Source organism: Homo sapiens, chromosome 17, assembly GCF_000001405.40.
Source record: "Homo sapiens chromosome 17, GRCh38.p14 Primary Assembly".
NCBI classification, from domain to species: domain Eukaryota; kingdom Metazoa; phylum Chordata; class Mammalia; order Primates; family Hominidae; genus Homo; species Homo sapiens.
This window is the reverse complement of record NC_000017.11, coordinates 4,870,210-4,896,818: the sequence shown is the minus strand read 5'-3', so window position 1 is coordinate 4,896,818 and position 26,609 is coordinate 4,870,210. Positions and strand designations below refer to the sequence as shown.

Genomic DNA, 26,609 nt, shown 5'->3' with positions numbered 1-26,609 from the left:
CCCACCTTGTCATTCCGCTCACACAGGAACTTGAGCCTCTGAGCTCGTTTGTGCATGAAGACCCCGTCGAGGTGGCCCGTCTCCACAGAGCGGATCTCAATGGCTTTCTCACCCCAGCCCATTATCTGGTTGGAGCAGATGTAGGCTGTGGGGAACAGGTGAGGGGCTGAGCAGGCTGCACCCCGGGGCCACCTCGGGGCATGTGGCTGGGAGGGCGGCAGCTCACTCACCCACAGAAGTAGGCATCTCCCCCCACTGCAGCACCACATCCTTAATGATGCGCCCGTACGTGTTGACGTAGACACCCTCGTCCTCGTAGCACAGCAGCATCTCCATGCCGTCGGTGTTGGGGAGGAAGATGATGGCATGGGGCGTGATCTGGCTCTGGATCTGGGGAGAAGGAGGGGGACTAGAGTCTCCGTGTCTGGTGCCCAGACTGGGCCATCCCACTCCCCCAGCAGCCCCGCCAAGCTCACGTGCACAGGGATGTAGATGTCATAGCTGTTCCCCGAGTCGACATCCACAGCATGGAAGCCAGCACTGGAGCCATAGATGACCTTGAGCCGCTGCCCCTCCTCTACTGTCAGGTCGACCAGCAGAGGGCGGTGGGGGAGGTCGGCAAAGGACTGCAGAGAACCGGAGGAGAGGAGGGCTCAGGGGCACGGGGAGAGGCGCTGGGACTCCAGATGGTGTTAGGGACCGAGGCTGGGATTACCTTGAAGGCCATGAATTTGTGGTAGGGTTTGGGGGCCCAGGCATACACCTCCACGGAGCTCTTGAGGGCGATGACCAGGAACTTAATCCGCTCGTATTTCACTGGGGGCGGGAGAGAAGAGGGATGCTGAGACTTCCCTTCTTGCGCCACGGGCGCCTCCCCGTGGTCTGTCACTACACTGCCCCACCCAGGCCCCAAGTCCCTGGCTCCCAGATCCATTTCTCTCTTCATGAACAAGTATGCGCTGGCCACTCTGTTGGGACATCCTCACCAACACGGTAGTGCCCGCAGCCCTCCATGTCCCCCACGGTGGTCCAGCCCTGCTTCTTCTCCACTTCTGGGTCATTGTGCAGAATCTTGTTCCGGAGCCAGGACAGGTAATACACCCGCAGTTTGTTCCTTTTCCCTGAGGGACGGACAGACATACACACCCGCCCCCATTCTCATCTGAGGCCCGAATGCCACCGCCCTGGCCTCCTCTGTCAGCATACCACAAGGGGTGAGAAAGTGTGGCCCCACCTTCCAGTGCCTGCCCTCCTCCCAGGCAGAAGATGGTGACAGCGCCAAGGAGCTGAGCCCCTCCTCCCTCCCCCACTCACCACACCTGTACCTGAGATGGTGATGAGCAGGTTGAGCCCCTCCAGCACATCCATCTGCTGGAAGCGTCGCCGCCCAATGAGTCCATACACCTTGCCCTGCCCACTTCGGTCCAGCAACATCAGCCCGTTCTCCGTGCCCACCAGCAGGTTGACCCCTGCAACAGGAGCCCTTGGGCAGGTCAGAGGCTCAGCCAGGCCCTCACCTAACCAGGAGCACAAGAGCCACGCCAGAGCCTCCTCAGCTGTCCCTGCCCTGGCTTACCCCAAAGGGCTGCACAGAGGATCTCGGAGTTGAATCGCTTCTTGTACTTCCGGATCTCAGGGGTCTCACTGTGGGCCCGGGTGTTGGTGGGATTCACGTTGACCACAGAACCCTTCCTCACGTCGTACTGCAGCTGGTCGAGCCGAGTGCCCTCTCCACCCACTAGGGCTGCCAGAAGGAGGAGGAGGTGGGAGGAGGGGCTGCAGCTTCTCACCCCATCTCTTTTTACCTCCATCCCCTATATCAGGTCTTGGCACCTCATAATACGCAGAAAGGAGGAGAAAGACAGGAGGAGAGGAGGTGCATGGGAGAGGGGGATAGAGTGCTGGACTTGGAGTCAAAAGGTCTGGCTCAAGTCCCATTTCTGTCACTTGTTAGCTTTGAGTCTTTGCCCAGGTCCCCTGGCAACTCTGAGCATTTCCTGTCCTGTGGGACAGGAAGGAGGGGTCTCAGAGGCTCTTCCTTGCCTCTGTGCCCAGGCAGGTGCTAGGGCCCAAGGGAGAGGTCCTGTGGCTATGCTTTGTGAGGCTGCGTCTCAAGACCACTGTGCTCCCCTCCAGGCTGCCCCTGGACCCTGGCCTCACAGCAGGTCTGTCCTCCTGTCCTCACCTGTGATGGGGATGCTGTCCCCACTGCCTCCAGGCTGGTAGATCCCTAGATCCACAAACATCGTGAACGAGCTCTTGCCAGGGGCCTTTACCAGCCCACGAGACTGGTACTGTGGTAGGGGGACAGCAGTCAGGCAAACAAGTGCAAGTCCAGCTGCGGCCCTGCCCCTGCTGCTGTTCCCCAGGCTCCAGCTCCCCAACTGGCACCCCCGCTGTCCAGCTCCCAGCGCTCCGCCCCATCCTCTGCCGTTACCCAGCACCGGGACCTCCTGCCCATCGCCAGGGCTCTTCTCTCCCGGCGGACCTGCCTCCGGCCCACTTACGTCACCACTCCCATCCTTCGAGGGTGGGCTTTGGCCTTTGCTGTTCTCGGTGGGTGAGTGGCTGGGCTGGACCACGTCAGGCAGGTTTGTGTACCCATTGCTGTCAGCATGCAGCAGGTTCCGCTCCTCTTCAGGGGTCTACAGGACAGAGGGCAGGGTTGGCGTGGGGCTGAGGAGGGCACACACAGGTACAGGGGAGGGAGCAGAGGCTCACTCACGCGCTGGACCACCATGGTGCCGCCCCCGTATGGGGGCTGGGTCCCGGTGATCTCCTCGACGTCGTGGACCACCATGGTGCTGACGCTGTCTGTATCCCCATCGCTGCTGTGAGAGAGGAAGGTGGGGCCCCTCCAGGTCCTGCCCGTGGCCACAGAAGTGCCAAAGGCAGCAGATGGCAGCCAGAGCCCAGGCTTTTGTCTCTATTCAAAACACAACCTGCTCCACCCTCACGGTGTAGCCCCTGCTCCACCGTGAGGTGCTTCCCTGCATGGCACACAGGGCAGGCTGGCACAGGGGCAGACAGGCACTTGAAGAGGCCACCCCACAACACACAGGGCAGCGGGAGAGAGACAGGAACCTGCACCCTCACCCCACTCTCTAGAGAAGGGAGCCGCTCTCCCTCAGACTTGCCCCAAAGCCCCACCTCTTCCCCACTGCCACTTCCCCTCCCTCCCTGTGCCTTGGAGTGGGAGGGCCCCACTCCCGATGCCGTACCGGCCCCCAGGGGTATCTCTGCTCCCCTCTGCTGGCCCGCCTTCGCCTTCCTCCTCGTCGTCCTCACTGCTTTCCACCTCCTCGCTGGACGACGAGTAGTCCATGGCCTTCTTGGGAGGCCGAGGGGCCTCGTCCAGAGTCCGCTCTTTCAGCAACACAAAGTCCTGCAGGGAGGAGCCACGTGAGGGGCAGGGAGAAGCTGGGCCTGGGTGGAGGTAGACAAAGGGTGCCGGGACACCCCAGCAGGGCGACAGGAGGGGCTCCCACAAGCAGGCCCATCTCACTAACCTCACCAATTGCTCGCTTATAGCTCTGGGAGGGGCCGCAGGGGAAGAAAGAGCCAGAAGAGAGGTTAGGAGAGAGGTTAGGAGAGAGGTTAGGAAAGGTTAGCACCATGAGAAGCACCAGTCCCTCCATCCCCACAGCCCTTCTCGGTAGATCAGCGGAGACCCCACCCCTGACACCCAGCACCCTGAGGCTAAGCCCCAAACCAGGATGAGGCAGGCCATGCCTGCCACCAGGTGACTCACTGCGGGCCGGCCTGGCCGTGAGCGGTGGTCGTCGGGCTTGGCTTTATTCCCAGGGGAGAGCACAGGGGAGCTGTCCGGTTTGGAGGAGACTGGACGGCAGGGTGGAAGAAGGTCACTGATGCCTGAACAAGGGATGGCCTCAAGCCCACACCCTGAGCCCCAGAACTCAGCCCCAAGTTCCATACCCACACAGGTCCTCCCTGTCCGTGTGGGTGCCCCAGTCCAAAGCCACCAAAGGCAGGGTCCATGGTGATAAGCCCCCAGGCCCAGAGCAGGCTGCCCAGCCCTGGCTCACATACCTCCCACGCGGTTCCGCTCCAGTGAGCCAGCCTGGGGGAGGTGCCCGTGAGAGGCTGGAAGGACGCTGTCCGAGCGTTCCCAGCCAGGGTCGCTCCTCCTGAGGTCGGGGTTACTGTTGGGGGGGCAGAGTCAGGGTCAGGGAGGCACGGTGCTCCCTTCTCTGGGGTGCTGAGCTGCACTGCAGAGGGAGCCATCACCAGGGAAGCGGGTGGCAGAAGTGAGAGGTGAGAGTGAGTTGGGGGACAACTCTATTACCTAGAGGCGTTGGGCGGGCCAGGGGGCTGAGCAGGGGGCCCTGGAGGCTTTGGGGTGCCCCGCTCTGCCCGCCTTTGCAGATAGATTTGCCAGGCGGAGTTGCTGCGAGGTCTGTGAAGGGAGCACAGGGGTGCCGAGGGGGCGGCGGGGGGGCGCTGAGGTGATGGGGCTGGGGCTTTCCCACCCCCAGGCGGGTAGGCTGGTAAAGTCCCTGTGCCCCCCCTACTCCCTAGGCTGCCCTCAGACCTCACCCAGGCGTTGCCCTACCCAGGCATTACCTGGCACGGACTGCCTGGGCTGGCCGGGACCCTCCGGCCCCACTGGTGTTAAGGGCAGTGGCGATAGATGAGGTCCTCTGAGGCACCTGTGGAGAGAAGTCCACGTGCTGCGAGCTGGCGCTGCGACAGGCACTTCTCAGATGTTTAAGCCTCACCTCTGAGAGGTGAGCTCCCCCACTTTGATGGATGAGAAAACTGAGGTTCAGGGGAGTTAGTGAATACGTCCAGGGTTATGAAGCCGGATGATGGTGGAGCTGCGGTTCTAACTGGCAAAGTCTGCCCCTTAGCGCTCCCAAAACACCCTGGGCGTTTCTCCGTTCCCACGCTCCCCACAGGGATCGATGCCACCCCTCCACGTCGCGTCCTCAGCTGGACGGCTGACCCCGGCAGGGCAGCGCCCTGGCTTTCTCTCGCTTCCCGCCCTGCACTCTTCCTCCATGTGGCCTGCCCCTTCACTGCCCTCCTTCTCTTCATGACTAGCTCTCTGCTTTTCCCTGGGCCTGCAGAACTGTCCTTACCTTGGGTGGGGCCTCGTTATCTGGGCGGACCCAGGCTGGGGGATTCGGGCTGGGGCCAGGTCCTTCAGAGGTGGGGTCTGAATTCTGGCGGATGACAGCTCCTCGGGCACTGGGCGTGGCAGTGGGTGCGGGGATGGCAGGGTCGGGGTCATGGGAGGCTGGGAAGGCAGCCAGGTTTCGGGTGGGCTGGTCCTGCAGGGACTGGGATCGGGGTACAGGTGCTGCATATGGCTTCAGTGGGACCCGGTGTGCCACCAGGCTCTGCAGGGAGAGACCAGGGAGGGTGGGCTGCCTGCTCCATGGCACATCCCCACCTGCGAATTGGGGTCTGGGGTGGGAAAGGACTTTAGCTGCCCCTTCCTCCATTGAAGGACAAGGGGTTCCTTGAGCCTGATGACAGCTAAGTCAGGACAGACACAGGCAGCAAGAAGCAGGTGAGTGAGTCTGTCCACAAAGCCTGTGCTCTGTAATCCTGGCTCACGGCTGAGCAGGTGTGTGTGTGTGTGTGTGTGTGTGCGCGCGTGTGTGTGTACCTGTGCTCTGAACAAAGCTCCCTGTGTCTTCATTAAGACAGGGGTGGGGAGAGACTCACCTTGTGCGGTCCCTCCTGGGGCTCCACCGGCCTCTGCATAGGAGGAGTCTGGGAAAGGGGTCCTGGGGGCCCTGGGGAGGCCTGGGGGATGGGGGGCTCAGGCCCCGTGCTGCCTGGCTTGCTCTTGGCCAAGGGAGAGTTCTGCTGCTTGTTCATCCTTGTTCTCTCTTCTACCTGTGATGTGAAGGGATGTCAAGCAGGCCAGCTCTTGCCTCCCTGTTCTCAAAACTGAGGGTCCCACCTGCCCTAACTACTCCCGCCCTATGCTCTGTGCTGTGTGCTCCTTTCCCCTACTTGGTGCCTGCTACTGTGAACTACTACTTCTTGTGGCTCTCCAGGCCTCAGGCAGTGGGACTGCAGTCTCAGGAGGCAAAGGAGGCAGTGAGTACCTCTCGGGCCCAGGCTGGTTTGTCAGCGGGATTCATGCCCCGACCATAATGGTACAGGGGCTTCCTGTCCCCAGGCAGGAGCTGCTGCTGCTGCTGTTTCTGAAGCTGCTGCTGCTGTTGCTGCTGCTGCAGGGACTTGAGGTAGGCATGCTCCTGCTGCAGCTGCCTCTGGAGACGTTCTGACTGCCGCTGCTCCTCCAGCTGCTTCCGCTTGTATTCCTGGGCCCAAGGGTAGGGAGAGAGGGCTCAGCAGGGTGTGGCCCTGGGAGTTAGAGCAGGCATGCCCTCTCTTTTCTCCAACTGCCTAGAGAGGAGATGTATTCCCTTGATGTCCTGGGTGAATCCCTTCCCTTGAAGTGTTCCCATCCCGTTCCAGCAAAGAAGCTCTGAAAAGCATCTTCCCAGAGGACGCTGAGGGACCCGTTACCAGCAGCAGGGCCTGTTCCTGGAGCAGCTGTTGCTGAAGGATCTCGAGCTGTCGCTGCTCCTCCTCTAGCCTGTGACGAATATATTCCTGGGGGACGGGGTGTGGGGTGGGGGGCAGAGGGCAGGGAAGGAGGAAGAGGCAGAGGAGGGCAGCAGCAGCGAGTTGGAGAAGGAGGAAGGGATCCGCAGGAGAATGAGGGGGTGCAGGGGAAGAGTAAGAGAGAGGTAGGGGAGGGGATGACATGAGCCCCAGGGGGCCATGCGGCACAGATGGGGAAGAAGAGGGCACAGGGAATGAGGGGGGATGAGGAAGGGGTCGGGGAGTCAGGGATGGGGTAAAGAGATGGGAATGAGGCAGGGAAGGAAGAGGGAGGGGGTCAGGGTTGGGGTTGAAGGGTGGGAGAAAACAGAGAGAAAGAGTGAAGCTAGAAAAGATAGGAGGAATCTGGGGGTGGGGGAGAGAAGGGGGAAGGGCACGGGGAGCAGGGGCGGCAGGCAGCAGGAGCGGGAGGGCGGGAGGGCAGGGATGCGGGTGCGGCGCTCTACCTGCTCGCGCTCCGCCTGCCGCCGCTCCTCCTCCCGCCGCAGAGCCTGCATGTCCTCCAGCCGCCGCTGCTGCTCCTTCTCCTGCAGCTTCCGCTGCTCCCGCTCCCGCCGCTGTTGCTGTGGGGAGAGCCAGGTGGTCTTAAGAACCATACCGGACATCGCGTCAGCACTGCCCCTCCATGGACAGGGAGGGGAGCCCTCCTTGCTCACCACGGAGGGTGGTAAGAGAGACCGGCTTCCGCTTGTTTCTGCAACTATACCCATCCCCACCCAAGGGCCCGCGGGGCTGGGCTCGGGTAAACAGCCGGTAGCTGTGACGAGAGAGGCTGTGAGACTGACTGCTGCCTGTGGGGTGGGCTTAGCTAGACAACACCTTCCACTCCCCACACCCCACCAAACAACAAACCAAAGCCGAACTCAAAACAAGCCTCCCCAGCACTCCTAGCCTAAAATCGACCTTTGCCTGAAGTCCATATAGAGCGGGTCGTAGTGATAGCCTTTGGCCACAAGAGGGCACCAGGTGCCCGTGCACAGAAAGCACAGAAAAGAGGGACCTGGCCCACTCCTTGACAAGCACCAGTGCCCAGGTGGTACTTTACTTTCACGGTATTTCTGTGGTGGCTTTCACGAAGTCTACCACCACCACCACCAACAAAAGCACAAACCCTGAGGGACCCTTACACTTGAGGGAACTTGTGCCTACTTCTGCAATGAAGTTGCCAGCAGGCCTTCTCCAGGTAACACCTTGTTAGATAGGACTCTGTGGCTGGGCGCGGTGGCTCACACCTGTAATCCCAGCACTTTGGGAGGCCGAGGCAGGTGGATCACCTGAGGTCGGGAGTTCGAGACCAGCCTGACCAACATGCAGAAACCCTGTCTCTACTGAAAAAAATACAAAATTAGCCGGGCGTGGTGGCGCATTCCTGTAATCCCAGCTCCTCAGGAGGCTGAGGCAGGAGAATCACTTGAACCTGGGAGACGGAGGTTTTGCGGTGAGCCTAGAGTGCGCCACTGCACTCGTCACCCTGGGCAACAAGAGCAAAACTCCATCTCAAAAAAAAAAAAAAAAAAAAGATAGGACTTTGTTACTATACTATCTGAACGCTATATTTATTTTATTTTTTTATTTTTTGGAGACGGAGTCTTGCTCTGTTCCCCAGGCCAGTGGCGTGATCTCAGCTCACTACAACTTCCACCTCCCAGGTTCAAGCGATTCTCCTGCCTCAGCCTCCTAAGTAGCTGGAACTATAGGCGCGTGCACCACCACGCCTGGCTAATTTGTGTATTTTTAGTAGAGATGGGGTTTCACCATATTAGACAGGCTGGTCTCGAACTCCTGATCTCACGATCCGCCCCCATCCTCCGACTCCCAAAGTGCTGGGATTACAGGCGTGAGCCACCTCACCTGGCCTATATTTTCAAAACTGCACAAGGCTCTTCTGTAGCAGGTTTTCTTGCAAATTATTTTTTGTTCAACAATGAGAGGGCCTACTTTGGAGGTAGCAGGTGGACAGTGTGGGTGCTGCGGGTTATTGCTTATTATTATTAGAGACGGAGTCTTGCTCTGTCACCCAGGCTGGAGTGCAGTGGTGTGATCTCTGCTCACTGCAACCTCCGCCTCCCGGGTTCAAGCAATTCTCCTGCCTCAGCCTCCGGAGTAGCTGGGATTACAGGCATGCGCCACCACACCTGGCTAATTTTTGTATTATTAGTAGAGATGGGGTTTCACCATGTTGGCCAGGCTGGTCTCAAACTCCTGACCTCAGGTGATCTACCCACCTCAGCCTCCCAAAGTGATGGGATTACATTTTGTGTTAAGTCCAGCTCATCATGAAATTTGAAATCATATAATTGTTTCAACAGAAATGCCATTCATTTAAGGCATTTTAAAACCTGTTCTCCAAGGCCCTAATGGACCCGGGGCAGGTCAGGAGGAGGCCGCGCCAGGCCTGGGCCCTTCGGAGACAGCCCACCTCCTCCACGCGGCGCCGCTCCTCCTTCTGCTCCTCTATGCGCCGCTGCCGCTGGTGCAGCAGGTGTTTGATGTGTGCCTCGGGGTCTCGCTGCTGCTGCTGCTGCAGCTGCTGCTGCTGTTTTAAAGCCTCTGAGTTGCTCTTATTTTCCTGCTGGAGCCGGAGAAACTCCCGGCGTAGAGTCGACTCTCCAGGCACGTTCATGATGGAGCTGGGCAGGGGTGGCACAAAGAAGCACTGGGGTCAGAACCCTGTTGGTTCCCACTCTCAACCCCGTGGGCCCGCCTGAGTGGGTGCTTTAACTGGATCAAAGCCTCTGCCTCTGGCCACTCCCAGGTGGCCAGGAGACTTACCGTCCCCTTCTGCCCAGTCTTCAGTCCTGTCCTCCTTTCCTATTACTGCTGCGCCCCACATTCACCACAAATTGCTCTCTCCCCAGCTCTTGCTCAGTCATTGGTTCCACTTCTTAGCACTCAGAAATTTGGTTTCCAGGAGTCTCTACCTCTCTGTGCCCACCACCCCCAGGCTGAGAGTCCCCAAAGCCAAGCACCACTGTAGTCCCCCCACTCAGCGATGACCGCCCCAACCCCCACTCCACCTGCCAGGCCTACCTTGGCTCTCCTTCCTCTCCATGGCTGTCATCTTCCTCCTCGCTGCCGCTGTACTCATATTCTGTCTCCTCTGCAGGGGGAGGCCACTGCAGTTATCTCACCCAGCGCCCCAGACCCGCCGTGGGCTAGGGAAACCTTGGGTGGGGATAACCAGGTCTCTCTGGCTGGGCAAGCATGAGGGGCCCCACCCACTTCCTGGGGGCAATGGGAGGACAGCGGGTCTCAGGTGTGGGCCTGGACAGGACCGGGACTGGGTCCCAGGGCAGCTGAGGTGTGGCAGAGCCTGTGCTTGTGCTCGCACACACATGTGCTTAGCATGGAGTTTTTGTAAGGATGCGAAAGGCCGGTCCTCCTTTGGAAGGCTGATTCAGACTGGGAGGGAAAGGAGGGAAAACCCCTTGGGGGTTGCAAGTTTGAGAACGATCTCCTTGGACAGGGAGAGCTGGGGCCAAGGAGGGGAGCAGGAAGGGGTGCCAGGAGCGAGCAGGGCTGGCAGAGAGGAGCCAGGCTGGAGTGTCCCCTAGTACCTGCCCCCTCCAGCCTGCCCACTGACCTTTCTCACCCCGCTTCTTCCGGGATCGGTCAATGTGGTCCTTAAGCTGGATGCGGACCTGCCGCTCCGTGGGCTGGTCCCGGATGAAGGGAAACTTCAGTAGCTGCTCCGTGGGTGGGCGGCTCAGGTAAGTCTTGATGAGACATGTGTCAATGAAGTCAATGAACTTCTTAGACCTGGAAACAGTGGTGGCTCACACTGGGAGGGTCCCCTCAGAAGGGATGGGTGCAGGAGGAAGAGGGTGGATCATTCATCCACAAGCCACCTTGACGTCCCTCCTGTCTTCATATCCCAACACCAGTCACCGCCCTCTGCCCCCCAGAATCTCTTCTCTGGTGAGATCCAAGCCTGAGCACAGAGGGCATGAAGGTGGGGATGGCCTTGTCCAGGGACCTTCCTTCCCAGAGCCCACACTCTCAGAGACCTACCACTTCTTGGACTTGAGCCTGGGCGGAGGGTTCCGAGGAATGAGGAAGAGGGCTCGCATGGGGTGCATGTCACACAGAGCTGGACACAGAGGAGACACCCTCAGTCCCTTTCACTGCACTGGGAGCTACAGGACCCTTCCTCGGCAGGGTCCCAGGACCCACCTCCTCCCTACAGCCACTCTCTGGGCCCTTCCTTTCCCTCCCCTCCCACTCCCGGCAGACTCAGAACTTACGGGGGGCTCCCTCTGCCATCTCGATGGCTGTGATTCCTAGAGACCAAATATCACTCTATAGACGGGAAAGAAGGAACAAGTGAATATTCCTGACAACTCTGCCCTGCAACCTCTCTTCACCCACCATCCTGGCCTCTCAGGAGCCTTCCTGGGCCACACCCATTCCTGCAGCAGTGCCTTCCAACCCATCCCATCTTCCCACCCACACTTGCCTTGCCGTAAGATGTTCCCCAGCCCCTCACTGCTAACATCATCTGACCTTCCTCTGTTCCCCAGCCTGCTCAGGCCCCGTGGTCCCCATATTGCTTCCCGCCCTTGGCAGCCCCCATGCTCCCAACTTTCCACTCCATACCCTGTAATCATAGGTGGCATCAGGGTTCTCATCACAGGCGATGACCTCTGGAGCCATCCAGTAGGGAGTCCCAATGAAAGTGTTCCGTCTGCCCACGGTGCGGTCCAGCTGAGCACTCACCCCAAAATCCACTGTGAAGACACAGAGGGAGGGGTCAGTGTGGGGAGTCACCTCTGCTCCCTTGCCTCACATCCCTGCGTGCACACACAGGACTTGCCTGAGCCAGCTGTGGTCCTGGCCCGACCCAGACACCCCAGCACCCTCCTTTACCCCACCACCATCCTGAAGAACCCGATTCCATCTTCCAGCATCTTAGAGAAAAACCCAGGTAAAAGGATCACGGACAGCATCCCAGGCAGGAGGGCCATCAGATCCCATCTCCCCAGAGCAACCTGCAGAGCACCTGGCCCGTAACAGGTGACAGGTGAAGAGCTTCCTGAGGGATTTTCAGCAGGAGGCAGGGCATTCCAGGGGGAGAGGGGAAAGGGGAGGGAGTGAGCCTCCCCAGTAGGAAGGGAGTTGGGCCTGAGCCACCAGAGAGAAAAAGGGGCCCCTCATTCTCTGTTCTGGAGGTGAAAGGTCCTCGTCAGCCTCAGAAGGAGCCGGCGCACCTAGCTTGACCTCAGCATTCTCTGTCAGCAGCACATTCTGCCCCTTGATGTCTCGATGGATCACCTTGTGGGCATGGAGATGGGCCAGACCCTGGGACAGGAGAGCAGGGAAAATTAGCCATGGTGTTGGATGGGGTAGGAAAGAGTAAGTGGGGAGTGAGTTGAGGGGACAAGGAGCAGTCAGTCTGGACAGGGCTGGGCTGAAGGAGCAGACCTTCTCCACCAGGAGCCCAAGCAAGCTGAGCTGTCCTGGAGAGCTTCCTCAGAGAGGTGGCTCCAGGTGAATTCCCAGCAGTTGCAGGGTTACAGGTGGAGAAGCGGCAGAGCTTGGAAACAGGAGCTTGTCTCCTCCAACAGCCTGAGACTTCCCAAGGTGTGGACCCTGCTTCCACATCCCACCCGCATCAGGCCTGCTGCTCCCTAAAGAGGGCAGTGATGTCTCCTCCCAGCGCAGGGAGGATCTTTGCTCATGGAGAAACTCCAGCCAGGGTAGCGGAGGAGAAGACAAGGGGAGGGGCCTTGAGCTCACCCTGAGGATCTCCCTGCAGATATAGGCGATACAGTCCTCCTTCAGGGCGTTGCCTTTTGTGTTCTTTACCAGGTCAGTCACTGAACCAGCACCACAGAACTCCATCACCAGCTAGGATCCCAGGAAGGTACCGAAAGGAAAAGTATCAGTCAGACAAGCCCTCCCACCCCTGCCCCAATCCCCTGCTAGACTCCTGGAGGAGGATAAGAGACCTTGGGGTTAGAACTGGTATGAGCTAGAGAGCAAGGGCCACAGAAGCCTCACAAAGGCCACAGGATTTCCTCAAGTCAAGACAGAGAGGGAAAAAGGCTGGGTGCGGTGGCTCATGCCTGTAATCCCAGCACTTTGGGAGGCTGAGGCAGGCGGATCACCTGAGGTCAGGAGTTCAAGACCAGCCTGGCCAACATGGTGAGCAAGACTCCGTCTCAAAAAAAAAAAAAAAAAAGAGGAGAAGGAATACAGATGGAAAAGAACTGGCAGGGTGGGGCTGGGTTTAGAGTAGGAGTCCAAGGAATCCCTGAAACTGTAAACAAAATGATGCAGGTATATGCATTTTCCCTGAGGAAGGGTCTAGTACTTTCATCAGATTCTCATTGGGATTCCAAACCCTACAGCGGTTAAGAACTACTGCTTTATGGCTGGGCGCGGAGGCTCACTCCTGTAATCCCAGCATTTTGGGAGGCCGAGGTGGGTGGATCACAAGGTCAGGAGTTCAAGACCATCCTGGATAACACGGTGAAACCCTGTCTCTACTAAAAAAAAAAAAAAAAAAAAAGTAGCCGGGCGTGGTGGCGGGCTCCTGTAGTCCCAGCTACTTGGGAGGCTGAGGCAGGAGAACGGCGTGAACCCGGAAGGCGGAGCTTGCAGTGAGCTGAGATTGCGCCACTGAACTCCAGCCTGGGTGACAGAGTGAGACTCTGTCTCAAAAAACAAACAAACAAAAAACCCAAAACAAAATACTACTGCTTTGGGCCGGGCTCAGTGGCTCATGCCTGTAATCCTAGCACTTTGGGAGGCCAAGGCGGGCGGATCATGAGGTCAGGAATTCGAGACCATCCTGGCTAACATGGTGAAACCCCATCTCTACTAAAAATACAAAAAATTAGCCGGGCGTGGTGGTGGGCACCTGTAATCCCAGCTACTCAGGATGCTGACACAGGAGAATCGCTTGAACCTGGGAGGCAGAGGTTGCAGTGAGCCGAGATCGCGCCGCTGCACTCCAGCCTGAGTGACAGAGCAAGACTCTGTCTCAAAAAAAAAAAAAGGAACTTCTGCTTTGGATCAGGGCTGGCCCAAGGCCTGCTTCTATATGGTCAGCAAGTCAAGAATGGTTTTCACTTTTTTTTTTTTTTTGAGACAGGGTCTTACTCTGTCGCCCAGAGTGGAGTGCAGTGGCGCGATCTCAGCTCACTGCAACCTCCGCCTCCCAGGTTCAAGCGATTCTCCTGCCTCAGCCTCCCAAGTAGCTGGGATTACAGGCGCATGCCACCACGCCCGGCTAATTTTTGTATTTTCAGTAGAGACGAGGTGTCACCGTGTTGGCCAGGCTGGTCTTGAACTCCTGACCTCAGGTGATCCTCCTGCCCCAGCCTCCCGAAGTGCTGGGATTACAGGCTTGAGCCATTGCGTCTGGCCTGGGTTTTACATTTTTAAATGGTTGCGGGAAAAAACAAAAAAAGGAATCCTAAATGACATGTGAAAGTGTAAAACATTGAAACGTGAGTGACCGCAGTGAGGGTGCTGGGGTTATAGCCACACTCATTCGTTTACGTACTGACTATTGCTGCTTTCGTGGTACAACAACAGAACCGTGTAGCTGGGACAGCAAATATGACCCGCAAAGCCTGAAATATTTACCATCTGGCCCTTCACAGAAGAAGTTTGCCAGTCCCTGACTTAGAAGCAGAAAGGGGGCTAAGAAATAGTGATTCTCTAGGTCTGCTAGAGACATAAAGATTGCATAGGGTCTACCTCGACAGCTGCAACAGGGAACCTGGGAAGACCCTGAGAGAAACTCCTCCAGCACAGAGAGTAACAAGGCCAGGAGATGAGGAGGGCTCTGGGTCTGCACCTCCCAGGGAGAGCAGCTGAGACCCGCAGGCAGAGAAGATGGCTCCAACCAGTCTTCCTGGAAATCAGCATGCTTGTCCAAGTTTTCACTAAAAGCCACATCCAATGCAGGAAAAGGTTGGGTGGACACATATATTTGCATATGCAATAAAAGTAATTTGCATGTGCCTATTCCTTGGAGAGCAGAGCACAGTGAGAGGAGGGGAGGACCTGTGCCCAACAGGTCCAGAAGGGGGCGCCCGGCCACTAATGCCTCTAGCCTGCCGCGATCTCCACCACACACACCTGGCAGGTAGACCTCCCTGTCACCTTTCTCCCTTTCTTTGTGTGCATGAGTGTGTGTGTTCCCAAAAAGCCAAAGGGCCTTGGAGGCCAGGACCATGGCTCATGCTCATCTATACAGAGTATACAGAAGTGCTTAGTAAGTGCTTCTCTGAATGGCTGTTGGGAGGGGAGACCTGGCGTCAGCGCCAAAACTCCCGACAGCCATTGCCACACTCCCTGCTGCTCCATCCTCAGGGACTGGGCTCAGTACCACAAAGGGTGAGGCTGGGGGAACATGTCAGCACCAGTGCCCAGGCTAGGGAGGGGAATGACTCTTAGGAATGTTCTGGGCCAGGCAGGAGGAATTTGGGGGAGGCCCCAAGCTCTGCAGCAGGCTCTGTTTTGAATGATGACCCAGAAGGGCTGGGTGCTCTGTAGCATCTGGGGTTCTGGGAGGGGTCTGGGCCCTGTTATCTCCCACAAATATTTTGGTTCTGTTGCTTTCCCAGGAGCTGTGCTCAAAGGCAGGAAAATGGATGGACGGCCTCCCCACGGTCTCTCTCCCCTTTGCCAGGATTATATTTATTTATTAAGAGCCGATCGCACAGTGTGAGACACTGGTTAGGGGAAGGGTTGGGGCAAACGCCAGGACCCCTCCCCACAAAACACTCAAAGGATGAGATGCTGCAGTTCATGGGGGCTGGAGTGCGGGGCCATCCATGAGGCAGGAGGCCCCTCTGGGTCCAGGGACAGGGGAGGCTGGGTAGACCGGAGGGAGGGTAGCTGGCAAGGAGAGATGCTGGGCACTGATACTGAGTCCTAGTGAACAGCCCGGAGACAGGGATTGCGGGGAGGGAAGGCGGGCAGGGGGGCGTTTCTCACCCAGAGCTGGTCATCGTTTCCCGGGGGGCTCTTCTTGATGAAGGCTCCGTAGTAGGTGGCGATGTTGCGGTGGTGAGAGTACTTTTTCAGCATGTTGATCTCCTGTTTGATCTCTTCCTCCTCGTCCTAAGCAGATGGGAGGAGCTGAGCCCTGAGACTCCCCCAACACTCCCTTCTCGCTGGTCCGACCCTCCCACTGCCCAGCTCCACTCCCTACCTCCGTGACATCCATGACCTTGATGGCAGCCAGCTGCCCCGTCTTGACATGCCGACCCTGCGGGACAGAGGGATCTGAGTCTATGCTCAGAGGGTGGAGCGTAGAGAGGGCTTGACTCTAGGAGACACAGCTTTTTTTTTTGAGACAGGGTCTCGCTCTGTCGCCCAGACTAGAGTGCAGTGGCGCGATCTCGGCTCACTGCCTGCTCCACCTCCCGGGTTCACGCCATTCTCCTGCCTCAGCCTCCCGGATAGCTGGGACTACAGGCATCCACCACCTCGCCCGGCTAATTTTTTTGTATTTTTAGTAGAGATGGGGTTTCACCGTGTTAGCCAGGATGGTCTCGATCTCCTGACCTCGTGATCCGCCTGCCTCGGCCTCCCAAAGTGCTGGGATGACAGGCATGAGCCACCGCGCCCGGCCCGACTGTTTTCTATCTTACAAAGTGCCCCTCAGCCGGGCGCTGTGGCTCATGCCTGTAATCCCAACACTTTGGGAGGCCGAGGCAGGCGGATCACTTGAGACCAGGAGTTCGAGACCAGCCTGGCCAACATGGAGAAACCCCATCTCCACTAAAAATACAAAAAATTAGCTGGGTGTCATGGTGGGCGCCTATAATCCCAGCTACTCAGGAGGCTGAGGCACGAGAATTGCCTGAACCTGGGAGGCAAGCCGAGACTGTGCCACTGCACTCCCACCTGGGGGACAGAGCAAGACTCCGTCTCAAAAAAAAAAAAAAAGAAAAGAAAAAAAGCAAGTACCCCTCATTGTGGCTACACACCTCAGTGAATGTGCTGCTCATGGGAGTGGACAGAGAGCGCTCCTGAGCCATCATGGCCAACAGAAAAACCACCTACAGTGGACTTCCAAGTTACAGGCTCAATAAAGGCGAAGGGTCTCCTCCCATAAAAACTCAAGACAGATGAGGGAGAAACATTTATGTTCTGTTCCAGCCTCTCTGGCTTGGACTTTCTACAGTCTGAAAGTTAGAGCAGGGCGTGAAAGATACTTCTCCACCCTAACGGAGGATGGAGGCAGTAGGAGAAGGAGGCTAGGGAGGGAGGGGCTTTGCCTCACCCTCTTCTCCTAAGCAAGAGAAAATGCTGCAGTGCTTTCCTGACTCACCAACTCTGGACAGGAGGCCTCTCCCAGAATCAACTTCACCCACAAAGCTTTTTATTCTTGTCGATAGGGAAAGAACAGAGACAGAGCTGAGATTTTAGGGAACTCAGAGAAACACAGAGGGGCCCGCCGACATGTGCTAATGCTCCTGTCACCAGCCCTAGTGGGAAGAAACTTCCTCTTCTTGAGTGTGTCCCCAGCCATTGCCCTCCTCCCCCAACATCCTTCTGAAATTCCCAGTGGGAGCATCTAAGGCTTGGAGAGGAATGCCCAAAGGCTTCCTGGGGACGAGCAGGATGGAGGAAGGTGGCCCCTCATGGGGATGGACTGGCTTTGCCAGCCCATGGGTAATTTTTATCCTCAGCCATTCAAGACCCCAAGCCCAGAGACGCAGGAGCACATGGCACCACTATTCCCATGGCAACAACAAGGCAAGAGATTGCGGGTGGGGTGCCTGTTTCCCCAAAGTTTGCAAGAGAAGGAGTGTAAGAGAAAGGCAGGTGGTCTCAGCGACACAGGAAACACGGGGCTAGAGATGTAGAAGAGACTTGTGACAGTATCAAGCACTCTGTCTGGAGATGAAAAAGCCACGGGCCCCAGGGGGCTCCAGTCAGAGGCAGCATTCACCCTGAGCATCCTCCCTCCCTGCTGGAGCAGCTCCCCCCATCCAAGTGTGAGCAGTGGTCAGGCCACCTCACTCCCTGCTGCAGCGGCTCCCACAATCCAAGTGTCAGCAGTGGTCAGGCCACCTCACTCCCTGCTGCAGCGGCTCCTCCCAATCCAAGTGTCAGCAGTGGTCAGGCCACCTCACTCCCTGCTGCAGCGGCTCCCACAATCCAAGTGTGAGCAGTGGTCAGGCCACCTCACTCCCTGCTGCAGCGGCTCCCACAATCCAAGTGTGAGCAGTGGTCAGGCCACCTTACTCCCCGCTGGAGTGGCTCCCCCCATCCAAGTGTGAGCAGTGTGGTCAGGCCACACGAGAGGGCTGGGCTGGCCAACCTAAAAGCTACCATCAGTGGCTGAGAACCTGCCACTTCTGTCAGGGACAGAGGCAGCTCAAAAGCCAAAAGCCTGAGCTCTGGCCCCAGCAGGCCAGCTGTGGGAGCAGAGGCCACATCCCCTCTGCAGAAGGCCACCCATTAGGTCCCACTACCTCAAAGTCCTGGGTCTCTTTGTGGTCTGGGGAGAGGCCAAACCCACATCTCTGGCCTTAGCTCTCTCTGAATCCCAGGAGAGTTCTGACACACAAGGCCGTATGCCCTTCCACCTGCTCTCACTGCTGCAGGCCACCCTGCCTGGCTGCTGGCCTGTTCCCACCATGTCCGGGACTGGCTCTGCACTCAGGTAGAGAGAGGCATCAACAGTACCTCCTTCTGGGTGCTCTTTCCTCTCCCCCACTCTACCTTTCCAGGGCCCTAGACTCTAGCATCTCCCATAGCCCCCTTCAGACCTGCAGACCAGGAATCTACTTCCTTCCACTCCTCCCAAGACTGCCCTGCAGATGTGGAGGTCATACTTCCACACCATTCGTCTCACCTTGTACACCTGTCCGTAGGTTCCATTGCCGACCACCTCCACAAGCTCAAAGATCCCAGCAGGGTCCTAGGGGCAGGAGACAGAAGAATACTGTGTCAAGACTTTAGAAAAGGATTACAGAGCTAGAGGGGGGTAAAGTGGTATCCAGTCAAGATATGGGAGTGAAGACCAGCATATCAGGAGGGCACGTGGCAGGAACCCTGGTGGCTGGCTGCCCTTTTCCTGGATTGGTTCAGAGTGAATGTTCTACGGGAAAAGTTGGAAGAAGTGAGTGGCCGGGCACGGTGGCTCACGCCTGTAATCCCAGCACTTTGGGAGGCCGAGGCAGGTGGATCACGAGGTCAGGAGATCGAGACCATGCTGGCTAACACGGTGAAACCCCGTCTCTACTAAAAATACAAAAAATTAGCTGGGCGTGGTTGCGGGCGCCTGTAGTCCCAGCTACTTGGGAGGCTGAGGCAGGAGAATGGCGTGAACCTGGGAGGCAGAGCTTGCAGTGAGCTGAGATTGCGCCACTGCACTCCAGCCTGGGCGACAGAGTGAGACTCCGTCTCAAAAAAAAAAAAAAAAAAAGAAGTGAGAGAACATGGAAGTCAGAGCGCAGATGGCTTTTCAAAGACATGTTCCCGATTTCAAACCCACCGAGAAACTGCGTCTGTACCCTCATGTGCAAAATGAGGGTGCCCGAGTACCTTCCTCTGGGGTTGGTACTCACATTTTAAGTGAAGAAATGCCCATCAAATGCTTCAGATGGTTCCTGGCATCAGAGCGTGTGCCCAATAAAAGTTAATGACCATTATTATTATCTTACTTCTTAAAAGCAGGGATGAGGAAAGCTAGCAGGGAGCAGGAATTTCAGGGCCACCATCCTTTTGTCCTTCCCTCTTCCCAGTCCCCCTGAGACTGAGGGCTTCCAGGCCAGGGTTTGAGGCAATTGGGGCCAAAGGGACCTGGACGGAGGGAGTCAGCAGGTGATGGTGAGAAAGGGCCTCTGAGAAGGGAGAACTTTCTGTTCCTACTTTTCTGAGCCAAGCAGTGCCAGAAGGAGACAGCCCGAAGGGCTCAAACAAAGCCTCTAAAGAGGCTCGTCCTCCCCCTGGGCCAAGAGCAGGCAGGCCAGGCCTCAGCAACACAGCTGCGGTCGGGAGGCCACCCACACCCTCCTGGCAGAACCTTTTTTTTTTGAGAGAAAGAAATTGGGAGGTGGAGCTGCAAGCTGAAGAGAGATACAGCCCAGTACTGTCCACACTCCTGCACCTCCTGCAGAATGATGGCTCTTTTTTTTTTTTTTCTTTTGAGACTGAGTCTCACTCTGTCACCCAGGCTGGATGCAGTGGTACAATCACAGCTCACTGCAGCCTCAGTCTCCTGGGCTCAAGCAATCCTCCACCTCAGCCTCCTGAACAGCTGGGACCACAGGCATGCACCACCGCTCCTGGCTAGTTTTTTTTATTTTTAGTAGAGACGGGGTGTCACTATGTTGTCCAGACTGTTCTCAAACTTCTGAGTTCAAGCAGTCCTCCTGCCTTGGCCTCCCAAAGTACTGGGATTACAGGTGTGAGCCACCACGCCTGCCTCAGAGCCGACAGTTCTGACAGTCCTGGTGTTTCACTGGGTGGGCCCGTCCCCACCGCTGCAGGGACCGAGCGGAGGCAGAAAGTGAGGATGGCACTTGGGAATAAACTCTCCAGGCAACACGTGGCCTCTGTGCTGATAATCCTAAAAGCATATAATCTAAAACTCCTTTCTCCTTGATTTTGAAAGCTAACATAGGGTTTCTGGGAGGAAAAAAAAAATCCCACGACCAAAAAAGCCCACATCCATGCCAATAAAAGCACTTCATCCACTGAAGTAATAAGCCCAAGGAAGACGACTTGGGCGTGTTGAAGACCAGAGAGACACCAGCCCAAGGCTTTTAAAAAATGTCCTCACTGTGCACTTTTTCCATTTTCTCAAAGAGGAGCTGGAGAGCGGAGACGTGCCCCGGCACCCTGTGCCTGCCCCATCAGAGCATGTATCACGAGGCATTGTGCTCTACATTTACTTGTCTTATTCACTGGAGAAAGGGACTGAGCCCTCCTTGCTCACCAGGTAATGTCTAGGACCTCACTGAGGCCTGGCACGCGGCAGCCTGAGGAAACAGCCCAGCCTGCTCGGGAGGAAGTATTGACAGCTGAAGGGGGTTCCTTCTCTGTGCTCTGAAGGGGACTGGGCTGACCAGACCAAGAACTTTGTGGGTCTACATTCAATTATTTGGCTTCAGTTAAAGTTACGAAAAAAAAAATCTTGGCCGGGCGCGGTGGCTCACGCCTGTAATCCCAGCACTTTGAGAGGCTGAAGCGGGCAGATCAAGGGGTCAGGGTATCGAGACCATCCTGGCTAACATGGTGAAACCCCGTCTCTACTAAAAATACAAAAAATTAGCTGGGCGTGGTGGCGGGCACCTATATTCACAGCTACTCGGGAGGCTGAGGCAGGAGAATTACTTGAACCCAGGAGGTGGAGGTTGCAGTGAGCCGAGATCACACCACTGCACTCCAACCAAAGCGACAGAGCAAGGCTCTGTCTCGGCGGGGGGAAAAAAAACCTAACAAATTTATTCATTTTTTTTGAAATGGAATTTTTCTCTTGTTGCCCAGCTGGAGTGCAATGGCACGATCTTGGCTCACCGCAACCTCCACCTCCTGGGTTCAAATGATTCTCCTGCCTCAGCCTCCCGAGTAGCTGGGACTACAGGCGTGTGCCACCACGCCCAGCTAATTTTGTATTTTTAGTAGAGACGTGGTTTCACCCTGTTGGTCAGACTGGTCTCAAACTCTTGACCTCAGGTGATCCACCCACCTCAGCCTCCCAAGGTGTTGGGATTACAGGTGTGAGCCACTGCGCACGGCCTCATTTTTGTTTTTTTAGAGTCAGATCTCGCTCTGTTGCCCAGGTGGGAGTGCGGTGGCATGATCACAGCTCACTGTAGCCTTGAACTCCTGGGCTCAAGCAATCCTCCCACCTCAGCCTCCCAACACATTAATATTATAGGCATGACCCAGCATGCACAGCTAAAACAATATTTAACGGGTGTAAATCACAGTAGGATCCACAGGAAAGAGAGGTGTTGTCACTGCAGTGCAGGGGGCTAACAAGAGGTCTTTCTGACCCTGAGAGCTGGAAGGAACCTGAAAAAAGTCATCTCATCCGTCTTCAGTTCTAGATTAGAGGCTCAAAGACCATAGAGTTCCCTACAGAGCTCCCCAACAGAAGAACTCATCCATTCCGGGGCGTCTGAACTGACTGCTGCGAAGTCCTTTCTTGAATCAAACTGTAGCTCTTTCTGAGAAGGAGGGAGACAGGAAAAAGGATCTAGGGTCATAATTTTCTGAACACTCCTAATCTAAGAGGGAAAATACCGTGGGCCTGTTAGAGCCATAATGATCTGTCACCATCAAGTCAAATCACTACAAGTACATTTTAATTTTGTAACCTTGACTCCCAATCTGTCTCCTTCTCGTGTCTGGGCGGCACTGAGGGAGGAAGGAATATTTGAGGTCAGACACCCTGGGTTCAGATATCGACATTTAATGGGTTTCAAGTCGGTTTCCTGAAAACTCCTACTGGAAAGGGTGATTCAGAGAAGCAAGTTGGGGTCCCGCACGTGGCACTCTGGTTGTGGTCTCTCACCCCCTCCCCACCCAGATGCTCCATGTTTCAATAGCAGCACCGCTTTCCCACCACAGTCCAGCCTCTGCCTAATCCTCCTCCTCCTCCTCCCTTTCCTGTATCGCAGCCACCCTGTCCTTTCTCCCTTCAACATGTGCTTGGCTTGTCCACCAACTCAGACCAATCCCTCATGTCCTCCCTCCTGGAACTCTAGCCTCCCCCATGTCTTCCTTCTGCTGCCACTGATTTAACTCTTCCAAAATGGCGCTTTCCTGATTTTACTCTTCTGCCCAGAACTGGTAGTGGGGCTCCCCAATGCTTAGAGAGTCCCAACACCTCAGCCTGACATTTAACGATGCCCCGTTATTATCCAACCACTAAATATCTTCTGAATGAGTGCCTCCATTTGCCTTGCACTGGGCTAAGCCCTAAGCAGGGAAAACCTGTAAGGCAATCGTATCTCATTTCATTCATCCATTACATATTTCCTGAGCACAAACTATGTAATAACTCCCGAATTAGACACAAAAGGGAGCTCACCAATATATGAGAAATATAAAACCTTATAATTTTATAGATTGGCCAAGTACTCAAATATGAAAATGTGGCAGTCTACGATTATATATCATAAACAGCAACCGAAAGCACGAAAGCCGCTGAAATGCTGCTTGGTGTGGTGGAAAGAGCATGGGAGAGGGGTTTTCAACTCTGGCACTAGTCGTGTGCCTCTGTGCAAGTATTTAACTGTTTGAGGCCTCGGTCCTCTCCCACAAGCTAAGAGGGGGTTGGATTGTGTAAAAAGTCCACCTTAGGGTTGGGCGTGATGGCTCATGTCTGTAATCCCTGCACTTTGGGAAGCTGAGAACGCCGGATCATCAGACGTCAGGAGTTCGAGACCAGCCTGGCCAACATTATGAAGTCCTGTCTCTACTAAAAAATACAAAAATCATCTGGATATGGTGGTGGGCACCTGTAAACCCAGCTACTTGGGAGGCTGAGGCAGGAGAATCGCTTGAACTCAGGAGGTGGAGGTTGCAGTGAGCCGAAATTGCGCCACTGCACTCCAGCCTGGGTGAAAGAGTGAGACGCCTTCTCAAAAAAAAAAAAAAAAAAAGAAAAGAAAAAAGAGTGGCGAAGACCATGCTGTGTTGTGGGAGAGCAGGCTGGGTTTGAATGTTGAATTGGGGATGTTAAAGGATACACAGGTACATTCTATTGTCATGCTGTGCTGTGGGAGAACAGGCTGGGTTTGAATGTTGAATTGGGGATGTTAAAGGATACACAGGTACATTCTATTGTCATGCTGTGCTGTGGGAGAACAGGCTGGGTTTGAATGTTGAATTGGGGATGTTAAAGGATACACAGGTACATTCTATTGTCATGCTGTGCTGTGGGAGAACAGGCTGGGTTTGAATGTTGAATTGGGGATGTTAAAGGATACACAGGTACATTCTATTGTGCAGTTAGAAACAAGGATCTGTAAATACAATTTACAGACATTCGTGAGTGTAAGAGTTGGAGATACAAACAAGATATCTAGGGAGAATGTGGATGGCCAAGGGCAACACGTGAGAGCAGCAGAACAGACGCCAGAAGAGGAGATGGTCATGGAGGCTGCAGGGGGATAAGGGGAGTGATGGCCTCGAATGCGGCAGAGCAGCCAGAGGGCACTGAAAAAAATCCCACTGACTTCAGCAGCTCGGAAACCACTGGGAACTGCCGCTGTGTGAGCAGAGGGCAGACAGCGGGGGCTGGAGGAGACAGGGCTGTGCTGAGGAAATGAGGGCAGCACCCTTTCTGGAGAAGTCTAACCTTGAGAGGAAGGGGGAAAATCAGATGACAGCTAGAGCTGGCAGCAAAGTCAGACAATAGGGTTTTCAAAATAGGGAAGATCGTTCATCATCATGGAGGGGAAGAAGCCAAAAAGGGTGGATGTTTGAGGAGTTGATTTTTCTTTTGTTTCTGAGACAGAGTCTCTGTCACCCAGGCTGGAGTGCAGTGCCACGATCCCAGCTCACTGCAACCTCCGCCTCCTGGGTTCAAGCAATTCTCCTGCTTCAGCCTCCTGAGTAGCTGGGATTACAGGCGCGCACCACCAAACTTGGGTAATTTTTTGTATTTTTAGTAGAGACGGGGTTTTACCATGTTGGTCAAACTGGTCTCAAACTCCTGACCTCGTGATCCACCCACCTCGGCCTCCCAAAGTGCTGGGATTACAGGCGTGAGCCACTGCGCTCAGCCAATTTTTGTACTTTTTATGTAGACGGGGTTTCACCGTGTTGCCCAGGCTGGTCTTGAATCCTGAGCTAAAGAGATCCACCTGCCTTGGCCTCCCAAACTGCTGGGATTACAGGGGTGAGGCACCATGCCTGACTCTGTCCATCCTTTTTTTTTTTTTTTTTAAGACTTAGTCTCATTCTGTTGCTCAGGCTGGAGTGCAGTGGTGCAATCTCAGCTCACTGCAACCTCCACCTCCTGGGTTCAAGTGATTCTCTTGCCTCAGTCTCCTGAATAGCTGGGATTACAGCTGCCTGCCACCACACTTGGCTAATTTTTTGTATTTTAGTAGAGACAGGATTTCACCATGTTGTCCAGGCCAGTGTCAAACTCCTGACCTCAAGTGATCCGCCCACCTCGGCCTCCCAAAGTGCGGGATTACAGGAGTGAGCCACTGTACCCAGCCTGTCCATCCTTTTGATTGGAGCCATCCTAGTAGGTGTGAAGTGGTATCTCATTGTGGTTTTGATTTGTATTTCCCTCAGGAGGCTGAGGCAGGAGGATCCTATAAGTCCAGGAGTTTGAGGCTACAGTGAGCTATGGTCATGCCACTGTACTTCAGCCTGGGCAACAGAGTGAGATCACCTCCCTACCCCATCTAGAAAAGGATGGACAATCAAAAGCGTTGCTGAGGGCATGGAGAAACTGAAATTGTCATACACTGCTGCTGGGAATGTAAAATGGTCCAGCCACTTTGGAAAACAGTTTGGCAGTTCCTCAAATGTTAAACAATGAGTTATCATATCACTCAGCCATTCCACTTCTAGGTAGATACTCAAGAAAACTGAGAACATATATCCACACAAAAATATGTAGATGGATGCCCACAGGAGGATTATTAACAACCAAAAAGTAGAAACCACCCAAATATCCATCAACTGATGAACAGATAAATGTGGTATATCTATATAATAGAATGATATTGGCAATAAAAAGAAATGAAGACCAGGTATGGTGGCTCATGTCTATAACCCCAGCACTTTGGGAGGCAGAGGCGGGAGGATCACTTGAGGTCAAGTGGTTTGAGACTGCTTGGCAGGTTTGAGACCAACCTTGGCAAGATAATAAGACCACATCTCTACAAAAAATTTAAAAAATTAGTGAGGCAAGGTGGCATGTACCTGTAGTCCCAGCTACATGGGAGGCTGAGGTGGAAGGATCCCTTGAGCCCAGGAGCGGAAGGCAGTAGTGACCTATGATAGCACCACTGCACCCCAGCCTGGGTGACAGAGTGAGTGAGACCCTGCCTCTAAAAAAAAAAAAAAAAAAAAAATTAAAACAAACAAAACAAAAAAAGGGAATAAACTACTGCTAGATGTTGCAACATGGATGAACCTTGAAGACATTATGCTTATGAAAGAAGCTAGTCACAAAAGGCCACATATTATGTGGCTACATTTATGTGTAACGTCCAGAATAGGCAAGTCTAAAGAGATGAGAAGTAGATTAGTGGTTGCCAGGGGCTGGGAGGAAGGAGAAGATGGGCAATGACTGCTAATGCGTACTGGGTTTCATCTGGGGATAATGAAAAGGTTCTGAAATTAGATAGTGAAGATGGTTGCATAAGTCTGTGAGTATACCAAAAACCACTTTAAAATATTTTATTTTAATTTTTGTTAGTTTGTTTTTTGAGACAGGGTCTCACTTTGTTGCTGAGGCTGGAGTGCAGTAGTGTAATCTCAGCTCACTGCAACCTCCACCTCCTGAGCTCAAGCAATCCTCCTGCCTCAAACTCCCAAGTAGCTGGGACTACAGGTGCGCACCACCACACCTGGCTAATTTTTATATTTTTTGTAGAGATGGGGTTTCACTATGTCGCCCAAGCTGGTCTTGAACTCCTGAGTTCAAGTGATCCGCCCGCCTTGGCCTCCCAAAGTGCTGGCATTACAGGCATGAGCCACCACACCTGGCCTAAAATATTTTAAAAGGGTAAATTTTATGGTATGTAAATTATATTTCAATAAAGCTGTTATTAAAAATAATCCTTCAATATCACTAATAATAGGAGAAATGCAAATCAAAACCCAATGAGATAGCATCTCACCCCATTTAAAGGGTTATTATCAAAAGACAAAAAGGCTGGGCATAGTGGCTCACACCTGTAACTGTAATCCCAACACTTTGGGAGGCTGAGGTGGGAGGATCACTTGAGCTCAGAAGTTCAAGACATGCCTGGGCAACATAGTGAAACCACTCCTCCACAAAAAATAAAACAGTCTCAAAAAAAAAAAAAAAAAAAAATTGG

The 26,609-nt window shown here is 54.9% G+C and overlaps 1 protein-coding gene and 1 pseudogene across 29 annotated transcripts in view, besides 2 other annotated features; both read right to left on the bottom strand.

Annotated features, from left to right (window-relative positions):
* The window catches only part of MINK1 (misshapen like kinase 1), a 64,722-nt gene that overhangs the window by 1,243 nt on the left and 36,870 nt on the right, over nt 1-26,609 (bottom strand). For 2 of the 29 annotated variants that reach the window (XM_006721531.2, XM_017024707.3), the window contains exons 2-32: nt 18,437-18,502; nt 15,779-15,835; nt 15,562-15,687; nt 12,346-12,456; nt 11,817-11,907; nt 11,206-11,336; nt 10,854-10,908; nt 10,621-10,699; nt 10,193-10,368; nt 9,640-9,709; nt 9,029-9,239; nt 7,056-7,172; nt 6,511-6,597; nt 6,084-6,302; nt 5,695-5,868; nt 5,103-5,363; nt 4,585-4,670; nt 4,307-4,417; nt 4,051-4,163; nt 3,752-3,840; nt 3,222-3,385; nt 2,726-2,831; nt 2,508-2,645; nt 2,186-2,294; nt 1,577-1,744; nt 1,326-1,469; nt 987-1,121; nt 716-816; nt 477-626; nt 231-390; nt 6-145 (exon numbers count right to left, since the gene is read on the bottom strand). In XM_006721531.2, the coding sequence (XP_006721594.1) occupies nt 6-145; nt 231-390; nt 477-626; nt 716-816; nt 987-1,121; nt 1,326-1,469; nt 1,577-1,744; nt 2,186-2,294; nt 2,508-2,645; nt 2,726-2,831; nt 3,222-3,385; nt 3,752-3,840; nt 4,051-4,163; nt 4,307-4,417; nt 4,585-4,670; nt 5,103-5,363; nt 5,695-5,868; nt 6,084-6,302; nt 6,511-6,597; nt 7,056-7,172; nt 9,029-9,239; nt 9,640-9,709; nt 10,193-10,368; nt 10,621-10,699; nt 10,854-10,908; nt 11,206-11,336; nt 11,817-11,907; nt 12,346-12,456; nt 15,562-15,687; nt 15,779-15,835; nt 18,437-18,502 (3,945 nt within the window). Of the gene's footprint in view, nt 1-5; nt 146-230; nt 391-476; nt 627-715; nt 817-986; nt 1,122-1,324; nt 1,484-1,576; nt 1,745-2,185; nt 2,295-2,507; nt 2,646-2,725; nt 2,832-3,221; nt 3,386-3,509; nt 3,534-3,751; nt 3,841-4,050; nt 4,164-4,306; nt 4,418-4,584; nt 4,671-5,102; nt 5,364-5,694; nt 5,869-6,083; nt 6,303-6,510; nt 6,598-7,055; nt 7,173-9,028; nt 9,240-9,639; nt 9,710-10,192; nt 10,369-10,620; nt 10,700-10,853; nt 10,909-11,205; nt 11,337-11,816; nt 11,908-12,345; nt 12,457-15,561; nt 15,706-15,778; nt 15,836-18,436; nt 18,503-26,609 lie in introns of those variants that run through there. The other 27 variants (NM_001321236.2, NM_015716.5, XM_006721532.2 and 24 more) reach the window with 26 other exon arrangements.
* On the bottom strand, nt 13,503-13,844 carry RN7SL784P (RNA, 7SL, cytoplasmic 784, pseudogene; annotated as a pseudogene).
* Nucleotides 14,475-14,524: an enhancer, noted in NCBI's record as "active region_11550". NCBI's record gives its function as "activates an Ori minimal core promoter by ATAC-STARR-seq in GM12878 lymphoblastoid cells {active_cell/tissue: GM12878}" and the evidence as "EXISTENCE:reporter gene assay evidence [ECO:0000049][PMID:35858748]".
* Nucleotides 14,705-14,754: a silencer, noted in NCBI's record as "silent region_8048". NCBI's record gives its function as "represses an Ori minimal core promoter by ATAC-STARR-seq in GM12878 lymphoblastoid cells {active_cell/tissue: GM12878}" and the evidence as "EXISTENCE:reporter gene assay evidence [ECO:0000049][PMID:35858748]".